Source organism: Homo sapiens, chromosome 4 (assembly GCF_000001405.40).
Source record: "Homo sapiens chromosome 4, GRCh38.p14 Primary Assembly".
NCBI lineage: Eukaryota > Metazoa > Chordata > Mammalia > Primates > Hominidae > Homo > Homo sapiens.
The window spans coordinates 119,789,655-119,807,427 of NC_000004.12; the positions used below are offsets into that span (position 1 = coordinate 119,789,655).

The 17,773-nt window shown below is 37.0% G+C and overlaps 1 long non-coding RNA gene across 2 annotated transcripts; it reads right to left on the reverse strand.

The window, feature by feature from the left end:
- Positions 1–9,441: 9,441 nt before the first annotated feature.
- On the reverse strand, positions 9,442–14,863 carry LINC01365 (long intergenic non-protein coding RNA 1365). 2 transcript variants are annotated; one of them, NR_110660.2, is made up of 5 exons: positions 14,798–14,863; positions 13,070–13,238; positions 11,698–11,740; positions 10,983–11,108; positions 9,442–9,582 (listed from the first exon to the last, which is right to left on the reverse strand). It is a non-coding gene; the product is annotated as a long intergenic non-protein coding RNA 1365 (long non-coding RNA). The 2 variants fall into 2 exon arrangements; NR_174111.1 differs by lacking the exon at positions 11,698–11,740.
- Positions 14,864–17,773: the final 2,910 nt, after the last annotated feature.

Sequence of the window (17,773 nt, forward strand, 5' to 3'; positions counted from 1 at the left end):
ATGATAAAATGATCAATAATAAACTTTTAAGTATAAGATATTGTATAATTAGATTAAAATTCTGTGGACTGAAATTACATGGTAGAGTTATAAAAAAGAAATATGTAAATTTTCATAGCTGAACAACGACTTTTTCGTGTATGTATTTTTTAGGGGGTTATTACATATTAATGGTATTCAAATTCCATTAGATTCATTAAAAATAGTGAAGTATTTGTTTTATTCCCAATATTGGAGAATTGGAGAAAGTATATTAATTACAGTTATAATGAAACATTTTAAATCAACTAAAAACGTGATTGAGTGTAAAATTTACAAAAAAAATTTCTAGTGGGCAAGCAAACAAAAAAGTTTGAAGATATCTGTTTGAGTGATCAATAGGAAATAGGGCAAATTCAGATGTCATTTGAGTAAACTGACAAAGTAAGAAATGTCACCTAGTGTCATCTGAGCAATTCTGTGGTAGGGGTGACATTCAAAACTAGGTAATTTGTCAAAAGTACAAATGTTTTCAATTATAAGCATGGACATATGGGCATAGTAAAAAGATAATAATGCTATAATCACTAGAATTATTGACTAATTTTACTTTTCCTTTTACAAGTCTATATTTTGTACTTTTTTTTTTGAGGTAGGGTCTCCTTCTGTCACCTAGGCTGGAGTGTAGTGGTGCAGTCACAGTTCACTGTAGCCTTGATCCCCTAAACTCAAGTGATCCTCTTACCTCAGCCTGTTGAGTAGCTGGGGTCACGGGCGCATGCCACCATGCCTTGCAAATTTTTAAAAAATTATTTTTGGTAGAGACAAGATCTCACTATGTTGCTCAGGCTGGTCTTGAACTACTGGCCTCAAGCAATCCTCCTGCCTTAGCTTCCAAAAGTGTTGGATTATTGGTGTGAGCCACCATGCCTGGCTTATATTTTATACAATTTCAGAAATAAGCTTGTGTAACTTAACTAACCAGAGAAAGTACATGTGCATACCATATTTCATCAAATCTACAACAACATTGATTATGAGATACACGATTATCTTTTGTTTCACTGGGAAGAAACACTGCCCATTGGAGCAATGACATGATATTTATTGCCATTGATTATAAGATGACTCACGATTTCAGAAGTGTTAAAATGTAAAGAAATTGCTTTAGAATGAATGGATTACAGTATTTTGTATAATAAATGTTTTTAATTTTCCTATTAAAGTATCATTTGCATACATTAAATTCACCCATGTTAGTGTTTAGTTCTGTGAGTTTTGAGAAATGTCAAGTTATATAATCACCCTGCCACCAAAAGCAAGATGTAGAACAGTTCAATCACTCTCTAAAATTCTCCCATGTTCTTTCATAGTCAATTCCTCCCCATGCCATGAGTCTCTGACAACTATGAACCTGTTCTTTATTCCTATAGTTTTCCCTTTTCCAGAATGGCATATAAACATACATAGTATGCAGCCTTTTAAGTTTGGCTTCTTCCCCTTAGCATGATACTTTTGAGGTTTATCTCTGTTCTTGTGCATATCCATAGTTCATTCCCTTTTTTTTGCTGAGTAGCATTTCATTGCGTAAATCAAACACATTTACACAATGTGTAATATGTTGGCTTATTCATTCATTAGTTAAAGGACATTTAGACATTTAGGTTGGTTTGAGTTTTTGGAGATTACAAATAAAGCTGCCATAAACATTTATCTACATTGTTTTTGTTAGAATATAATATTTGTTTGTTTCTTTTATTTATTTATTTATTTATTTATTTATTTATTTATTTTTGAGATAGAGTCTCGCTCTGTTGCCCAGGCTGGAGTGCAGTGGTGTGATCTGGGCTCACTGCAACCTCTGCCTCCTGGGTTCAAGAGATTTTCCTGCCTTAGCCTCCCGAGTAGCTGGGATTACAGGCATGCGCCACTATGCCTGGCTAACTTTTTGTATTTTTAGTAGAAACAGAATTTTACCATGTTGGCCAGGCTGGTCTTGAATTCCTGACCTCAAGTAATCTGCCCATCTCAGCCTTCCAAAGTGCTGTAATTACAGGCATGAGCCACTGTGACTCATGGCCAGAATATAATTTTTTTATTCCACTTGGGTAAATACTGAGTAACAGCTTGCCTGGTCACGTACTAAGTGTGTGTTTAACGTTATTAGAAATTGACAAACTGTTTTCCAAAGTGGCTACACCATCTTGCATTTCCTCCAGCCATGTTTGAGAGTTCCAGTTGCTTCGCATTCTTGCTAGCAGCAGTGGATATTGCCAGGTTTTGTTGTTATTTCTATTCTGACAGGTAAATATTTACACTTCCCGGTAGTTTTCCTAGTGACAAATTGGGTTGAGCATCTGTTCAATTGCTTATTTGCCATGTGTACCTCTTCTTTGGTGAAGTGTCTGTTCAAATATTTTGCCTGTTAAAAAAAATTGATCGGTTGTTTGCTTAAAATTGAGTTTCGAGAATCCTTTATATATTCGGGATACAAGTCTTTTATCAGATTGTGATTTGCATTTTCAGCAAGTTCCCAGGTGTTGCTGATACTACTGTAGTTTTGGGAGTAGAAATAGCTACCCACAGGGCTTCTTAAACTTTAACATCCATAAAAACCACCTGGGGTGGGATGGGACCTAGTAGGTCTGGGGCACACCTGAGATTCTGCACTACCAACCAGCTCTTAGAAGAACTCTGATGCTTCTGTGTTCACAGCTTTGGCAGAAAGGGCTTAGGGGAATCACAGAAGGATTCCAAGAAAGAGTTACATTTCAGCCAAGATTGAAGGATGAGTATATTTCTCTGGAAAGATACAGGGTAGAGAAGAATAGAAGGTGAGAGAGGAAGAAAAGAGAAGAATAATTTTGCAGAGGGTATAACATGAGCCATGCCAGGTTGAATGAAAAAGTCAGACATTGGAGGTGGAAGATGACCTCTTACTGAGAGGTAAGTCATATTACAAAAGACATGTTTGAATTTTCTTTCCTATATGTGGAAGTGCATTGAAATATTGCAATCAGGAGAGTCATGTGATCAGACTGTCAGTATAGAAATACATCTCTGACCGTGGAATAAAAGTATGATTGGAAAAGAAACTGGAGGCTGGAAAACCAGTTGTTGCAATTGTGCAGTGAGAAATGACAGATGTTTTAATTAAGGCGGTTACAATGGGGTGAAAGAGGAGGAGCCAGATTAAGAGATGTTTAGGAAGAACAATCAACATGACTAGGTAAAAACTGGATGTAGGGGAGAGAGCAGGGGAAAGCTAGATGCTAACTGGGTGGTGTGATTTACCAGAATAAGGAATGTGTGTTTAAGTTTTGTGCAGAAGATGACCAGGTTCATCAGATATGCTGAGGTTAAGGTAATTCCTGTATAGCCACCTACAAATGTCTACAAGATCTTTGTAAAAGAATGGAGGACAGAAGAGACAAATGGGTTGAAGTCATGAACTTGGTAGTAATCTGGTTCTGAGTGTTAATTGAAGTGAAGTTCCTTGATGAAATCTACAGAATGCAAAAGAGATTAAAAGAGCCAAAGTCTCTTTTGCATCCAAGAGACACTCACATCTAAGAGGCAAATGAAAGAAGGGATCCGGGGAAAGAAAGGGAGGCATTTCTTTCAACAGGGGAAATTATTTTAATTTGAAATTCAATGAGGAGATAATGTCAGTCTCAAGGAGTTAATTTGAAATTTTTTCTTTTAATATTTAATATATATGTTCACCCCTTATAGGCAGTAGATAAAATATTCTCCATTTTCATAATTTTCTTAAGGTAAAAGATAATGATCATTTAATGTATGTTTAACTTTTGGTTTGTGGAAGGTCTTTCATGCTTTGTTTTCTATTTAAGTCTTCAATTACTTCTCAATAGAGAGCATAACAAGAAAAATTCTGATTTCCTTCCTTGCATCTAAATCTGTATTTAATAACTGAATGTCTGTAAACAGTACCAGGCAATGCAGTAATTATACGATTACTAAAGGGCATTGTTGGTATGAACATATTTCATTTAGATGCAAACTTTGGTGCTGTATTTCAGACACTTCAGAAATACAGTGATCCACACTAGAAATTAGCAGAGATCTACAACATATCGATACTAACGGTTTATAACATGTTTACAAATATTTCTCTATTATTTGCTCCCAAGATGACAATTACTGTAGGTTTACGAAGGGGCATGATCTAGCTCTTCTGCCCCATATTATGTTTCAAGAAGGACCATGCAATTGAATCTTTAACCACATAGATTAAGTACTGATTCTTCTATTTCTTAGATGTTATTCTTGGGCAAGTTGGTTCAGTTTATTTCAACAATTTTTTTTTACCAAATTTCTATTATTACCAAGTACTGGAGAAACAAAGCTAAATGAAATATATATATGCATAGAACATTTCATAATAATAAGAGAAGTAGGCACAGGGTGCTGTGAGTTTGAAAGAGATTCTTCTCATTCAGCTTGAGGAATAAGAGGTGGCCAGCATTTCTGAAGGAGAAGGTGTCCGAGATGATTTTTAGTCAGGGAAGTCATCACCTTTTCTCCACCCCAAACCTGGTCACACATGTTCGTATCTAAAATTCTCTTTTATTCCACTAAAAGAGAGCAAAAATGCAGTGCAGAATGAATAATAGGGTGTGCCTGGGGAACCAAATGTAGTTTCATATTACCAGAAATTAAAACACGAGATGTGGGTTTCTCGAAGTTCAGGCAGATGTCATGGAGGCTTCACAGGCTGGGATGAAAGCTTGGCATGTAATTGAAGTGATTTGTTGACATAAAAAAAGCAGTCACAGTTAAATTTGCACTGCTGTTATATAACTCTGGTGGCAGTGTGTAGGGTGTATTTGAAGGGGGCAAATCTGGAACCATTTTTAATTCTTCAATGAGGCATGATAAGGGCTTGAACTTGGCCATGATAAAGTCTGGGAAAGGAAGGGCACAATTAAGAAAAAGTAAGGAGGCAACTACTTATGACAATGCTTGTTGAGCTAGAGAAAGCACAGCTTTAAGAGTGAGTGAGGCCTGAACTTGAACCCTAGCTTAATTACTTAAAAGCTTGAGCCTTTTACAAGTTACTGTAATTTTTGATTTTCTGTAATCCTGAAAGCGAGGGTGACTTTGCTTTGTGTCATCCTAGGGATTAGGCATAATTTAAAGCACCTGAAATAAATAATTACCAAAGGTCGGTTCCTGGTTAACATAAGTAAACAAGCCTGTTTCCCCTACACTTCCTTGTACCTAAATTCCCCTGCACTTCCTTGTACCTAATCCTTGCCCTCTGCCTCAGGGTAAGAGAACAGCTGCCTTCAGCTTATTCTTCCCCAAAGCTATGCAGAGCCTTCTGACCTTTCAGAAGGTTTGCGCCCTTTCCCTGTAATTTCTGCCACCATACTGACCGATCTCCTACATGACCTTTTAGGCTCTTAGCTTAAATGCCATGTGAATAGGGTCATTGTTTTAGGTTATGGGTCTCTTTTTATTAAGGGACACTGTAAGAGTCCTTTCAAAACCATCATAGACAGAAATACTTGTTATAAATGATAATAATAATATTAGTAAGCAGGGTGAAAAACAGTGGCTGGAAGAATGTCATCTGTCAGTGGATATGCTCATTCACGGGCAGGCTCTACTTTTCATGTGTTAACTCTTCCCATTTTACAGATAAGAACACGTAGAGAAAACCATGGAAATTAATAAGCTTTTCAGAGAAATATATGCTCTCCCACCTCACATTCAAAGATAAAACTTGACGTGGATGTTGAGGACTTGACTAGAAAGAGAAGTAACAATTTCCTGATTTCTACTTCTCAAATGCATTTTGAGATCCTTCTCAGTCACCAAGTTTGATATCAGGTGTTATATCCTGAAGTGGCATAGCCTTGGTGGAGTCTTCTCAATGGGTGAATTACCACCAAGATTAGCAATTATCATTAGAATTATTGTGATGGATAAATTCAGTTGTAATTATCATTATGGTTTATCTACTTTTCTCTGCGGGTTTGTATTAACACATTTTGGTAAGACTACAAGTAACTGTCTCTAGTTAAAAAAGAAAAGTTAAATGGACTCTGAGAATTGTTTCATATATCTATTATCTACCTTCACTTGTGATACCAAAGAAGTAGTTTATCGGGCACAGATGCTACAGCAATGTTTAGTATATACGTCATACATCGGTTGGAATAGAAAGGGTTTTGAAATTCTCTAAATCCAACTCAGACTGATACTAACTTATGAATAAGCAATATCATCTTTTTTGGACAACTATTGACTATCATGTCCATATGTGTTTTTCTAAAGGCTTTTATATGGTGTTTTGATTATGTCATAATCAATAAATGTCAATTGCTGCATTTCATCAAGTAACTGCCACAGGCCCCTGCCCAAACATAGCACTTTTGATGACTCTGTTACCAATAAGCAAGATTTAAAAACAAAACAAAACAAAAAACTAGCCATCAGTCGAAAGTTTGTCTGTTGGTCTACTTTCTAAAGGGTCAGGAAATGAGTTGCAGATGGATCAGTATTTACGTTCCCTGACATGTCCTGAGGGCTTGGTGGATGTTTCCTTCAGTGTCACCACAACACAGCATTTAGGGCTTCCATTTAAAAGGAGCCCCTGCTTAAGAGAGAGTAGGAGGAAGGGGGCTCCACATGGAGCCGTAGGAGTGTGAGTGGTTCAGCACCCTTTTCTCCAGGTGAAAGTTGCTGCTCACTATTACAAAGGGTGGACTTTGTAACACTCTTTGTAACACAGAGAGAAGATCTGTGTTTGTCTGGGGTGGTTGTGGCCAGCCTCACTGTCTTCCTTTCAGCTTCTCCTTTCCCTCCTCAGAGACTTGTCCTGCCAGTGACACTCTGACATGAGTCTTCAGGTGGACACTGTCCTCCCATTCTATAGGGCTTGGCCCAAATATCACCCCCCCCACTTTTTTTTGAGATGGAGTCTCGCTCTGTTGCCCAGGCTGGAGTGCAGTGGCATGATCTTGGCTCACTGCAAGCTCCACCTCCCGGGTTCACATCATTCTCCTGCCTCAGCCTCCTGAGTCGCTGGGACTACAGGCGCCCGCCACCATGCCTGGCTAATTTTTTGTATTTTTTAGTAGAGACGGGGTTTCACTGTGTTAGCCAGGACGGTCTCGATCTCCTGACCTCATGATCCACCTGCCCTGGCCTCCCAAAGTGCTGGAAATATCACCTCTTTACAGGCAGTTTTTCTGACCATCTTCTCCAAGCAGATGCCACTTACTCCATTTTGCCATTGCACTCACCTATTTTCTTCACATCATCTCTTGCAAGTTCTTGTATGTAGACTTTAAAAAAATGACCAGTCATCCCTTTTGGGCTATAACTTCAAGAGTCCATGGCTGTTTGGTCCTTCACTGTTCATTCACTACAGATCATTGCACATAGCACTCAGTAAATGTTTATTAAATAAATGCTGAATGAAGGGTTTTATGGAATGAACGTATTTCCCACCTTAAGTCTCTATTTATCTCCCTGATTAATGTTTGTTGTTTATGATAACTTTTCAAAATTAATTATATTTAACAAAATTATTGCTATTTTAGTGGAAAACATTATCTTCCCATCTTTAAAAACAAAAGAATTAGCATCAGAGTTCCTTTTGGAAAGAGAACTTCTCCTCTAGAAAAATAGCTATATAGTCCACTTCAGCTGGGTTAGGAGAAACACCAAGAGTATGGCTTATACCATTAAAATGGAAAAATGCTGCCATGTGAAATGTTCAACTGAATATGTTTGTCGTAATCTGAGGTTGGAGGAAGGAGCCATGTCACGTGGTGAGACTCTGAAACTTTCTAAGAAGGGACTTAACAATTAAGCAGATGAACAGTTGCTTGAAGCAGGGTAGTCAAAATCTTTAGAGAGCACAGTTGTCTAATATCTGCTTTAAAGTTGTTAACATGTTCCAAAATAAATTGCTTTTATAGCATCAAACTTTGGAAAAATCTGCATCTCTCTTTTGGGGCCTTAATCTCTGGAGTATTGTTTCTCATTTTTGTTGTCATTGAGAATGTGACTCATATGTCTGCACCTTTTTCAAACCCAGTCAAGTCTGGGAAAACACCTGCTAAATATAAAATCCACACACTTAAGGGCATTTACTTTTTCTCAATACACCAAACATGCAGTTAAGAAGTGAATGTCATGAAGTGGACATTTGAAAAAATCATTCCTTCCTTGAGATGTAAAAATTAGTAAGGAAAACTCAAGTTTGTTTTACCTTTTTGGTTCAAAAATTATAGTTGGGTCATACCTTGTTAAAATATATAAATTCATAAATTATCATGATTGCCAAGCCGCACATAAAATTATGCTTTTGCTTATACAAAATGAGCCTGATTGTACGTTTACAGTTCTGTGGGCTTGATGGCTTGCCCTCTTAAACCTCAGAGGAGAGAAAATTCTCCTCCAGCTACCATTTTGCAGAAAAAAAATCTCTTTCTTTGAGATGCCTGTAATACATGGCTGCAGAACAGATTCAAGGAGGGCTTTCGAAATGGGTTTAGAGCAGATTCATATCTGGTTTTTCAGCTGATTATATATTCATATATCTTCTTTTGAATTACTCAGTTTTGCTTCAGTTGTCCAGTGTTCTGCACCGGGATTATTTATGTTCAGCTGAGCCTCAAGAAAGAAATGTACAGGGAGATGGTGATGATTAGAGGAAAAGAGCATAGGATTTGTACTCGAATCCGCCACAATGGGGATGGCTTAGTCATGTTGCTTAACATCTATGAAAATCATTTTGCTCAACTGTAGAACAGATTTATTTAGGATTACTTCTGCTACATTAGGACCTGTGGTTTACATGGCAAATAAGGGAACATTTTGAGAGTTGAATGGTTACAGTATGCAAATTAACTTTTAGGCTATTAGCTTATTCTCATATCTGCAACTCTCTGCATGAAACATCTTTCTCTCTCCTGTTTATTTACTTGGTTAAATTCTTGTCCTTCTAAGTGCATTTCCCTTGACAGAGAGCCTTTCCTGACTTGCTGGTGTCTACTACATGCCCCTTCTTTCATGTCCAGTTTCTTGACTTAACATATGATTTTGAAATTGTTTCTTGAGTTGCCCATTTCCCACATTTGTCTCTGAGTTCCAAGAAGGCAGGAATCTTACTTTTTAAAATCATTTTGCCCTCCATGTCAATTACAAGCATCACTCTGATGGAGAGTCAGCTCTCAGTAAATATTGACCTAATGGTTTATTTGTTGACGCTTCATGTAGTATTTACATTTTCAAGGTGGAATAATCAACTATGTTTAAAAATTTGGCATTACAATTACATACTTTGTTTCTGGTTTTATGTTATCTTTTTAACAGGGGAATGATGGGATGTTAGATCAGAAAGAGGTCTTGGAATTCATGTAATTCAGTAACAGAATTTTGCATAGGAGAAAATGAAAATCAAGAGAAATTAATCAATAATTAATAATTAATGACAGAACCAGTATTTTATTTCAGAGAGGGAGGCACTGTTCAAAGGTGACCACAAAGGGTTTGAGGTCAAAGGTGTATTAAACTCTGAATTAGCCACTTGGCTCTGGCTAAAGTCTTCAGTTTCTTCACCTGTCATGCAAAGAGAATATTCAGGAAAGAGGGTGTTCTTGTGATGATTAAACAAGTTAATATATGATAAAGCATATATAATTGCACAGAGCTATATAACAATAGTCACAACTAGTTATTCTTAGGATTCTTATTCGAGAACTCTTGATGCTGCCTCTGATTCCAACAGAAAACACTTAACCAAGACTCTGAATGACTATTTAATGCCACAACAGATAGGTGTGAATAGCTTTTCTTGTTTTAAAAAGGAGCTTTGCAATTAAGTTATTAAGTGCTCCTGCAAATACCTACTAAGAAAACAACTACCCATTTGATTTCTATCCAGTCTCTCTTTTTTCCTTCAGTTTAAGTTTCCAACTTCAAGATTGTTAAATATTACATGCTGTCTTGATTCTGACCTGCAAATAACAAGCTGTCATTTGTGAATTCCTTCCTAAATTAAAGATAATTAGAAGGGCTCATTTCTTGTGATTAATGTCTGGAAGAGAACTGGGACTAGAATATTCTTGGCTTATTATTTTGCCATTCTAAAATAATGCCGACATTTGATTCTGATGCTAAGCTATTCTGAACACTTCTTAGCCATCAGACATCTAATATGTGGGAGCTTGTGCTAACACGTAAATGTTTAGGGTTGACATTCAGAGTTAAATCTTACTGTTGCTTAGTGGTAGACAGTGATACTAAGGGGAAGGAAAAAAGAAGGCAGGAAGGGAGTGCCCTTTTGTCTATACCTTTTCTTATCTGAATAATAAATTCATGCATAAATTTTATACATGAATTCTATCTGCAGAAATTTTCTCTTGGGTTCCTAAAGTCAGGCACCCTGGTCATCTAGATGTTGTCACAGCTATGACTTCTTCTTTCTTACTAAAGATAAGGATGATTGTACCTCACCAATGGAAGAGGCTGTTCCTTCATGCTGAGCTCACCCTCACATTTTATGTGACATTCTTAACAATTTTACTTCTGCATGCAGCTACTTTTGCTATCAAGTCCAAAGCAAAGCTAAAGGATTAATAGTTCACAACACTTCCAACTCCTCTGAAAGATATATAGAATTGGTTTTAAATTAATGTCTCTAATTTTTAGAAAATTTTCTAGAGGATATAATTCACTTTGTTTTAATTACTCTTCAGTTTTAATTCTTTGCTACAGAGGCAAAAATTTAAGTCTAATTTTCTGCCATCTGAAGGTCTTGCAGGTGGCTACAGTCTTTATACAGCTTCTGATCTCATTTGAACATGAACTTGCTGTAGTTCGTTAGCCAATATGTCTCCCAGTTCCTTCACTAACCTGCTTGTCTCCTTTTAGGTGCACATCAGTTTTCCAGTGTTTCTCTAAAAGGGTGGAGGCTACAGACACAGTATTTGAAGCCCTTGACCTCATGTTACTCATACCTGAAATTAATGTTTCTATTTCTCTCTTTGCTGACTCTCTTTCCGGGGTTCCTTGTCTCTTTCTTGGCTTCTTCATTGCTTTCCTTTCCTACTGAATCTTCCTTCTTTTTGTTATTCTCCCAGAAACTAGAAAAAATTACATTAAGTAGTTTTTCTGGCTTGTATTTTTTAGTATGTTCCTTGTTAATTGTTAACTACATTTTCACAAAATAATCTATACTTTGTGGAATAAATTACAAAAATATTTGACTTAACAGAAGTTTCTAAGGGGAAAATAAAAGTTCATATTCCCCGCTACTATCCTCCTGTTCTACTCCCTAAAGATAAACACCATTAATGGTTTGTTGTGTGTTCTTCCAGATATTATATATATGTGTATATATACACTTATATACTTTCTAAGTATATATATACCCATACACACGTATACATATACATATATGTATATATATACATCCAGCTTATAAGATATATATCTTATATACAAGGCTATATATCTTAGCCTTGATATATTTATATATGATACATTTATATAAATATATTTGTTTGTTTATTTATATGAAATAGATACCTGCCAGATCTGTATTAGTCTGTTTTCACACTGCTATAAAGACATACCTGAGACTGGGTAACTGATAAAGAAAAGAGGTTTAATAGGCTCACAGTTCTGTGGGCTATCAGGCTTCCACTTCTGGGGAAGCCTCAGGAAACTTACAATCATGGTGAAGGTGAGGGGAATCAAGCATGTCTTCACATGGCTGGCAGGAGAAAGAGAGAGAACAAAGCGGGAAGTGCTACACACTTTCAAACAACCAGGTCTTGTGAGAACTCTATCACGAGAACAACAAGGGGGAATTCTGCTCCTGTGATTCAATCACCTCCCACCAGGCCCCTCCTCTAACACTGGGAATTACAGTTCAACATGAGCTATGAGTGGGGACACAGAGCCAAACTGTATCAAGGTCCAAATTGTGTGTATGTGTGTGTGTTTTCTTTTTTTTTTTTTTAAGACAGAGTCTCACCCTATCACCCAGGCTGGAGTGCAGTGGTAAGATCATGGCTCATTGTAGTTTCGACCTTTTGGGCTCAAATAATCATCTTGCTTCAGCCTCCTGAGTAGCTGGGACCACAGCTGCATGCCACCATGCCCAGCTAATTTTTCATTTTTTGTAAAGATGGAGTCTCACTATGTTTGCCAGGCTGGTCTCAAACTCCTGGGCTCAAGCAGTTCTCCCCTGGGCCTCCCACAGTGTTGGGTTTACAGGAGTGAGCAAATATGCTGGCCCCCAATTTCAAATAAGAGCCTCTAGTTGTGCAAATATCTAAGTTTAATTTTTATACATGAATTTAATTTTTTATGGAACTCCCATTATTCTGATTGCCTCTAAGTTCTGGGAGATCAAATAGCATCAAGGAGATGGGGTCAGCTCATCTGTGTCACTGTCATATTTCTATACGGGCCGCTACCTTTCACTTTTTGTTTGTTTGTTTCTTGGATCATCAGCATGACCCTATCTGGTCATTTATTCTCCTCAGTTTTTTGCCTTACACTCGGGCATTTGTTATTGAACACCAAAAGCCAAAAAATTGATTTTTTAAAAATAATCTTGTATATTTTTCTGCATTATCCTCTTCTGGAGACATAGAACTCACTAGCTGCTGCCTGAATGAAGATAAATGTCAGAGTAACAGCATGTATATGAAAAAATTAAATATATTATCCTAATGACTATATAAATATGTTAATTGAATATTCAGTGGGAATTTCCTGTTTTTGTGGTATTTTGACTGAAGCCTGGAAGATGAGAATAATATATTATAAAGTACCTGCACATTCTCAAGAGAGACAGAAAATCAAACGGCTTGCTAAGAAGTGGCTAAATTAGTCTGTGGACATCCAACTCCCCAACCCCTGCCACCACCCTTACCATCCAATCTATCTAAACAGAAAAGCAGAAATTTAAGATAATGTATTGAAGAAAGGGAATTTATAGAAATAAGGAGTGCTTTGGTCTTTTCTCTTTTCTTCCCTATGCAGGTGTTGCCATTATTCCAGGGTAGGTAGGAGGAGATATCAAGAAAATTACTTAGAGAAATTTGGGAAGGTTCTTGCAAGGAAGCAGTGGCTTCTCACTATCCAACTGGAGTCTTTTTGAGCTGCTGAGACTCAGGGCCATTTCTGAGGACACAGGGATGGAGCACTGCAAGAGTTCTTGGGAGAGCTTGAAATGCATCCTTTGTATCTGCGGCCAGGGGCTGTAGAGAGAATGTCAATGACAGTTGCTTCAGAAGTCATGGAAGTAGGGGGTGGGAGGGAATATTGGAGCTGCTCAAGAGGCTGCAGACAGACAGACAGACAGAGAGAGAGAGAGAGAGAGAGAGAGAGAGAGAGAGAGAAACAGAAAGGCAAGTCTACTTTCCCACTATTTTATGGAGCCTATAAGGCAAGGGGAAGCAGTGAGGTTGAGCTGCCCTGATGAGACACTGCCCCAGGTTGCTGCCTTCTCCAGAGAAGAGATCCTAGGAGTGAGGAGCTGTGAGGTGGGTAGGTCACTAGGGCCTGAGGCCAAGGGAAAAATTAAGAGATCAGTCAGTACATCAGCCATGTAGGGAAACTACGAAATCATTCTTTTCCTCTAATCTCCATTCCAGTTGCACTGAGTGTGGAAGATTCACAAGTAGGGAAGTTGCAGTGAAAAATCAAGGGAGGGAAGGAAAGGGGATGTGTGTGTGTGTGTGTGTGTGTGTGTGTGAGAGAGAGAGAGAGAGAGAGAGAAAGCTGATTATACTGACAGTAACCTACTGTCTTGCAGTTCTCCAAACCCAGCTCTGAGCCTAAGTTGGATGGGGCTGGGGATAGTTTTGTTACATGAGGCAATAAAGGATACAATTGGACTTGTCTGGACTTTGTAACACATAAAAATGAGTTGTAATTAATGAAATAAGATTTGTTCTTATAACTGGAATGACCAGAAAGTTAAGGAAGCATCCTCAGATTATCCTGGGAGGATGTTGGGGCTTTGTTTTGAAGGCAGTGATGAGAAACAAAGTTATTTGCCACCACATTGACAGAGACTCATTCCATGTATTAGTTTTATATTTCTCTATCAGTTTTAACAAACACACTTCTGGAATTTAGTTTTACTTAATAATAATAATAAATATATATATTTTTCTTCATAGAAATTGGATAATCAGTTAATATATTTTGGGCAGGTTTTATTATTAACACACATAGATTAGTATAATTATTTTTAGTGACTCTACAGTAATCCACATTATGGATTTTCATAAATCCTTCAGTTGAAGAATATTTTTGTTTCTGTTTTATTACAAGGAATGCTGCAGTGAATGCTCTTTCACACATAACCAAGCATTTCTATGAGCTATCTATAGGATAATTTGATAAGTGGTATTACTGTTTCAAGGAGTATGCGTACAAATAACAGCAAGTGTACTTAAAATTTAGAAAGCTAAGGCAAATTAATTTTTTGAAAAGTTTCAAAAACGGTGTATATAAACCTTTTTTTAATAGTTTTATCCACATTGGATCTTATTCAACATTTTAATCTCTATAGGTATCATAAGGAAAACTATATAGTGCCTTTTTGCTGTTTTGATCTTAATGTTTTTGAACAAAGTTGATCATATTTTCAAGTATTGTCCTTTTCTAAATATTTAATGATTTAGGTAATACATAACTACAAGTGGCTCATAAAAATTGAAGTGTGACAGAGAAGACTAAAGTCTCCTATGATTATGAACTCAAATCCTAGTCCATTTGCTATCCTTCTCTTTCCACACCCCCATCTCACCAAATATTCCCTGTGAGGACCACATCTAATTCTTTAACCTGTTTCTTCTGATGTTTTCCTTCATATTTCTAAATGCTGTGCTTTTAACAGCTGTGTCTTTATTAAATTGTGACATCATCTTTTGACTTCTTTTCTAGGCATTTTTGCCCATTGACACCATCTTCCTAATTATGACATCATTATTGTCTTGTTTATTTATTGATTTCTGGCTTACATTGGTCTTCTTTCTCTAGTTACATTAGGTAGTAACTTAGATGATTAAATTTTTATCTTCCTTCTTTTCTTCATATGCATTCAATGCTATAGATTTCCTTATGAGCGCTGCTTTTGCTATATTCCACAAATTCTGATAAGTTGTATTTTTATTTTATTCTACTTTAAAATATGTTTAAATTTCTCTTGAGACTTCTTTGACCCATGTATTCTTTAGAAGTGTATTGCTTAATCTCCAAATATTTTGGGATTTTCCAGCCATCTTACTGTTATTGATCTCTAACTTAATTCCAAGGTGCTCTGAGAGCATATTTTATATGATTTCTATTTTTTAATTTGTTAAGATAAAGATGTGTTTTATAACCCAGAATGTGGTTGACCTTGGTGCATGTTACATGCAAGCTTGAGAAAAATGTATAATCTGCTGCTGTTGCATGAAACCTTCAATAAATGTCAATTAAATCTAGTTGATTGATGTCCAGTTGAAGTATATCCTTATCGAATTTCTCCCTGTTGGATCTGTCAATTATTGATAGAGGGAGCTCTTATTAATATCTGCAGCTCCAGCTATAATAGTGGATTTATCTATTTCTCCTTGAAGTTCTATCAGTTTTTGCCTCACTCACGTATTTTGTTGCTTTTGTTAGATGCATATACATTAAAAGTTGTTCTATCTTTTTGGAGAGTTTATCCCTTTATTATTGTGCAATGTCCTTCCTTATCTCTGGAAAGTTTTGAAGTCAGTTTAATTTGTGATTAGTACAGCTACCTTAGCTTTTGATTAGTGTTATCACCGTGTATTTTTCTTATCCCTTTACTGTTTATCTGTGAAGACATGTTTAAAATGGGTTTTTTGTAGACAGTTGAGTCTTGTTTTTTCAACCACCCTGATAGTCTTTTTAGTTGGTATATGTAGATATTTACATTTTAAGTGGTTACTGATATCATTGGATTAATTCTACAATGTTTGTAACTGTTTTCTATTTGTTGCCTTTGTTCTTTTTCAAAAATTTTTTTCCCACATTTTATGCCTCATCTGTATTTTTCTTTATCGTGGTAAAAAATGTATACTATGAGATATACCCTCTTAAAAGTTTTTAAGTGTATAGTACAGTATTGTTAACTAAAAGCACAGTTTCATACAGCAGATATCTAGGACTTTCTCATCTTGCATAATTCAAACTATACCCATTGAATGCAACTCCCCATTTCTCTCAACCCCCAGTCTATGGCAACTATCATTCTACTCTGCTTCTGTGAGTTTGGCTATTTATTTACTTACTTTAGGGATAAGGTCTTGCTATGTTGCTCAGGCTGGAGTACAGTGGCTATTCATGGGTGCAATTACAGGGGACTACAGCCTCAAACTCCTGGCCTCAAGTGATCCTCCCACCTGAGCCTTCTGAGTAGCTAGAACTACAGGCATGTACCCACCATGCCCAGCAATTTTGACTATTTTGTAAACCTCATATAATTGGAGTCATGTAGCATTTGCCTTTCTGTGACTAGCTTTACTTAGCATAATGTCCTCGAGGTTCATCTATACTGTTGTATGTGGCAAGATTTCCTCCTTTTTTAAAGCTTGCTATAGCTTTGATATTTGTCCTCTCAAATCTTATGTTGAAATTTGATCCCCAGTTTTGAAGGTGAGTCCTAATGGAGGCAGATCTCTCATGAATTGATTAATGCCCTTCCTGGTTGTGAGCGGTGGGCGGCGAGTCAGTTCTCACTCTATTAGTTCCCACAAGAGCTGGTTGTTTAAGAGAGCCTGGCACCATCCCTCTTACTCTCTCTTGCTTCCTTCCTTTCCATGTGATCTCTGCATATGCTAGCTCCCCTTCACCTTTCTCCATGACTGGAAATAGCCAGAGGCTCTCACCAGAAGCAGATGCTGGTGCTGTGCTTCTTCTACAGTCTGCAGCATTTGATCCAAATAAATCTCTTTTCTTTATAAATTATTCATCCTCAGGTATTCCTTTATAGCAACACAAAGTGATTAAGGCAAGGCTGAATATATATATATATATATATATAATGGACATTTAGGTTGATTCTACATCTTCTTTTTCTTTTTGAGACAGGATCTTTCTCTGTCACCCAGGCTAAAGTGCAGTGGCATGACCGTAGCTCATTGCAACCTCAAACTCCTGGGCTCAGGGGATCCTCCTGCTTCAGCCTCCTGAGTAGATAGGACTACTGGCACTTGCCAACCACATCTTGCTAACTTATAAAAATATTTATTGTAGAGGTGGGGTTGTGCCTTGGTGCCCAGCTGGTCTCCAACTCTTGGGCTCAAGTGTCCCTCCTGACTTGGCCTCCCAAAAGCTGCGATTATAGGCATGAGCCACTGCACCTGGCTGCACATCTTGAATAGAGTGAGTAATGCCACAATAACATGGAAGCGTAAATATCTTATCAAGAGACTGATTTTAACTTATTTGAATAAATATTCAGAAGTGGAATTGCTGTATCATATGATAGCTCTTTTTTAATTTTCTGAGGAGCCTCCATACAATTTTTTAAGCAGCAGCACTATTTTACAGTGCATAGAGTTACAGTTTCTTCACCACTTCACCGAAACTTGTTATTTTCTGTTTCTTTTTAAATAATGACAATTCTAACAGGTGTGAAGTGATATGTCATTGTGATTTTGATTTACATTTTCCTGATGCTTAATGATACTGAGCACCTTTTCGTATAGCTGTTGCCATTTGTATGTCTTTGTGCAAATGTCTGTTCAGGTTCTCAGGCCATTTTTTAATT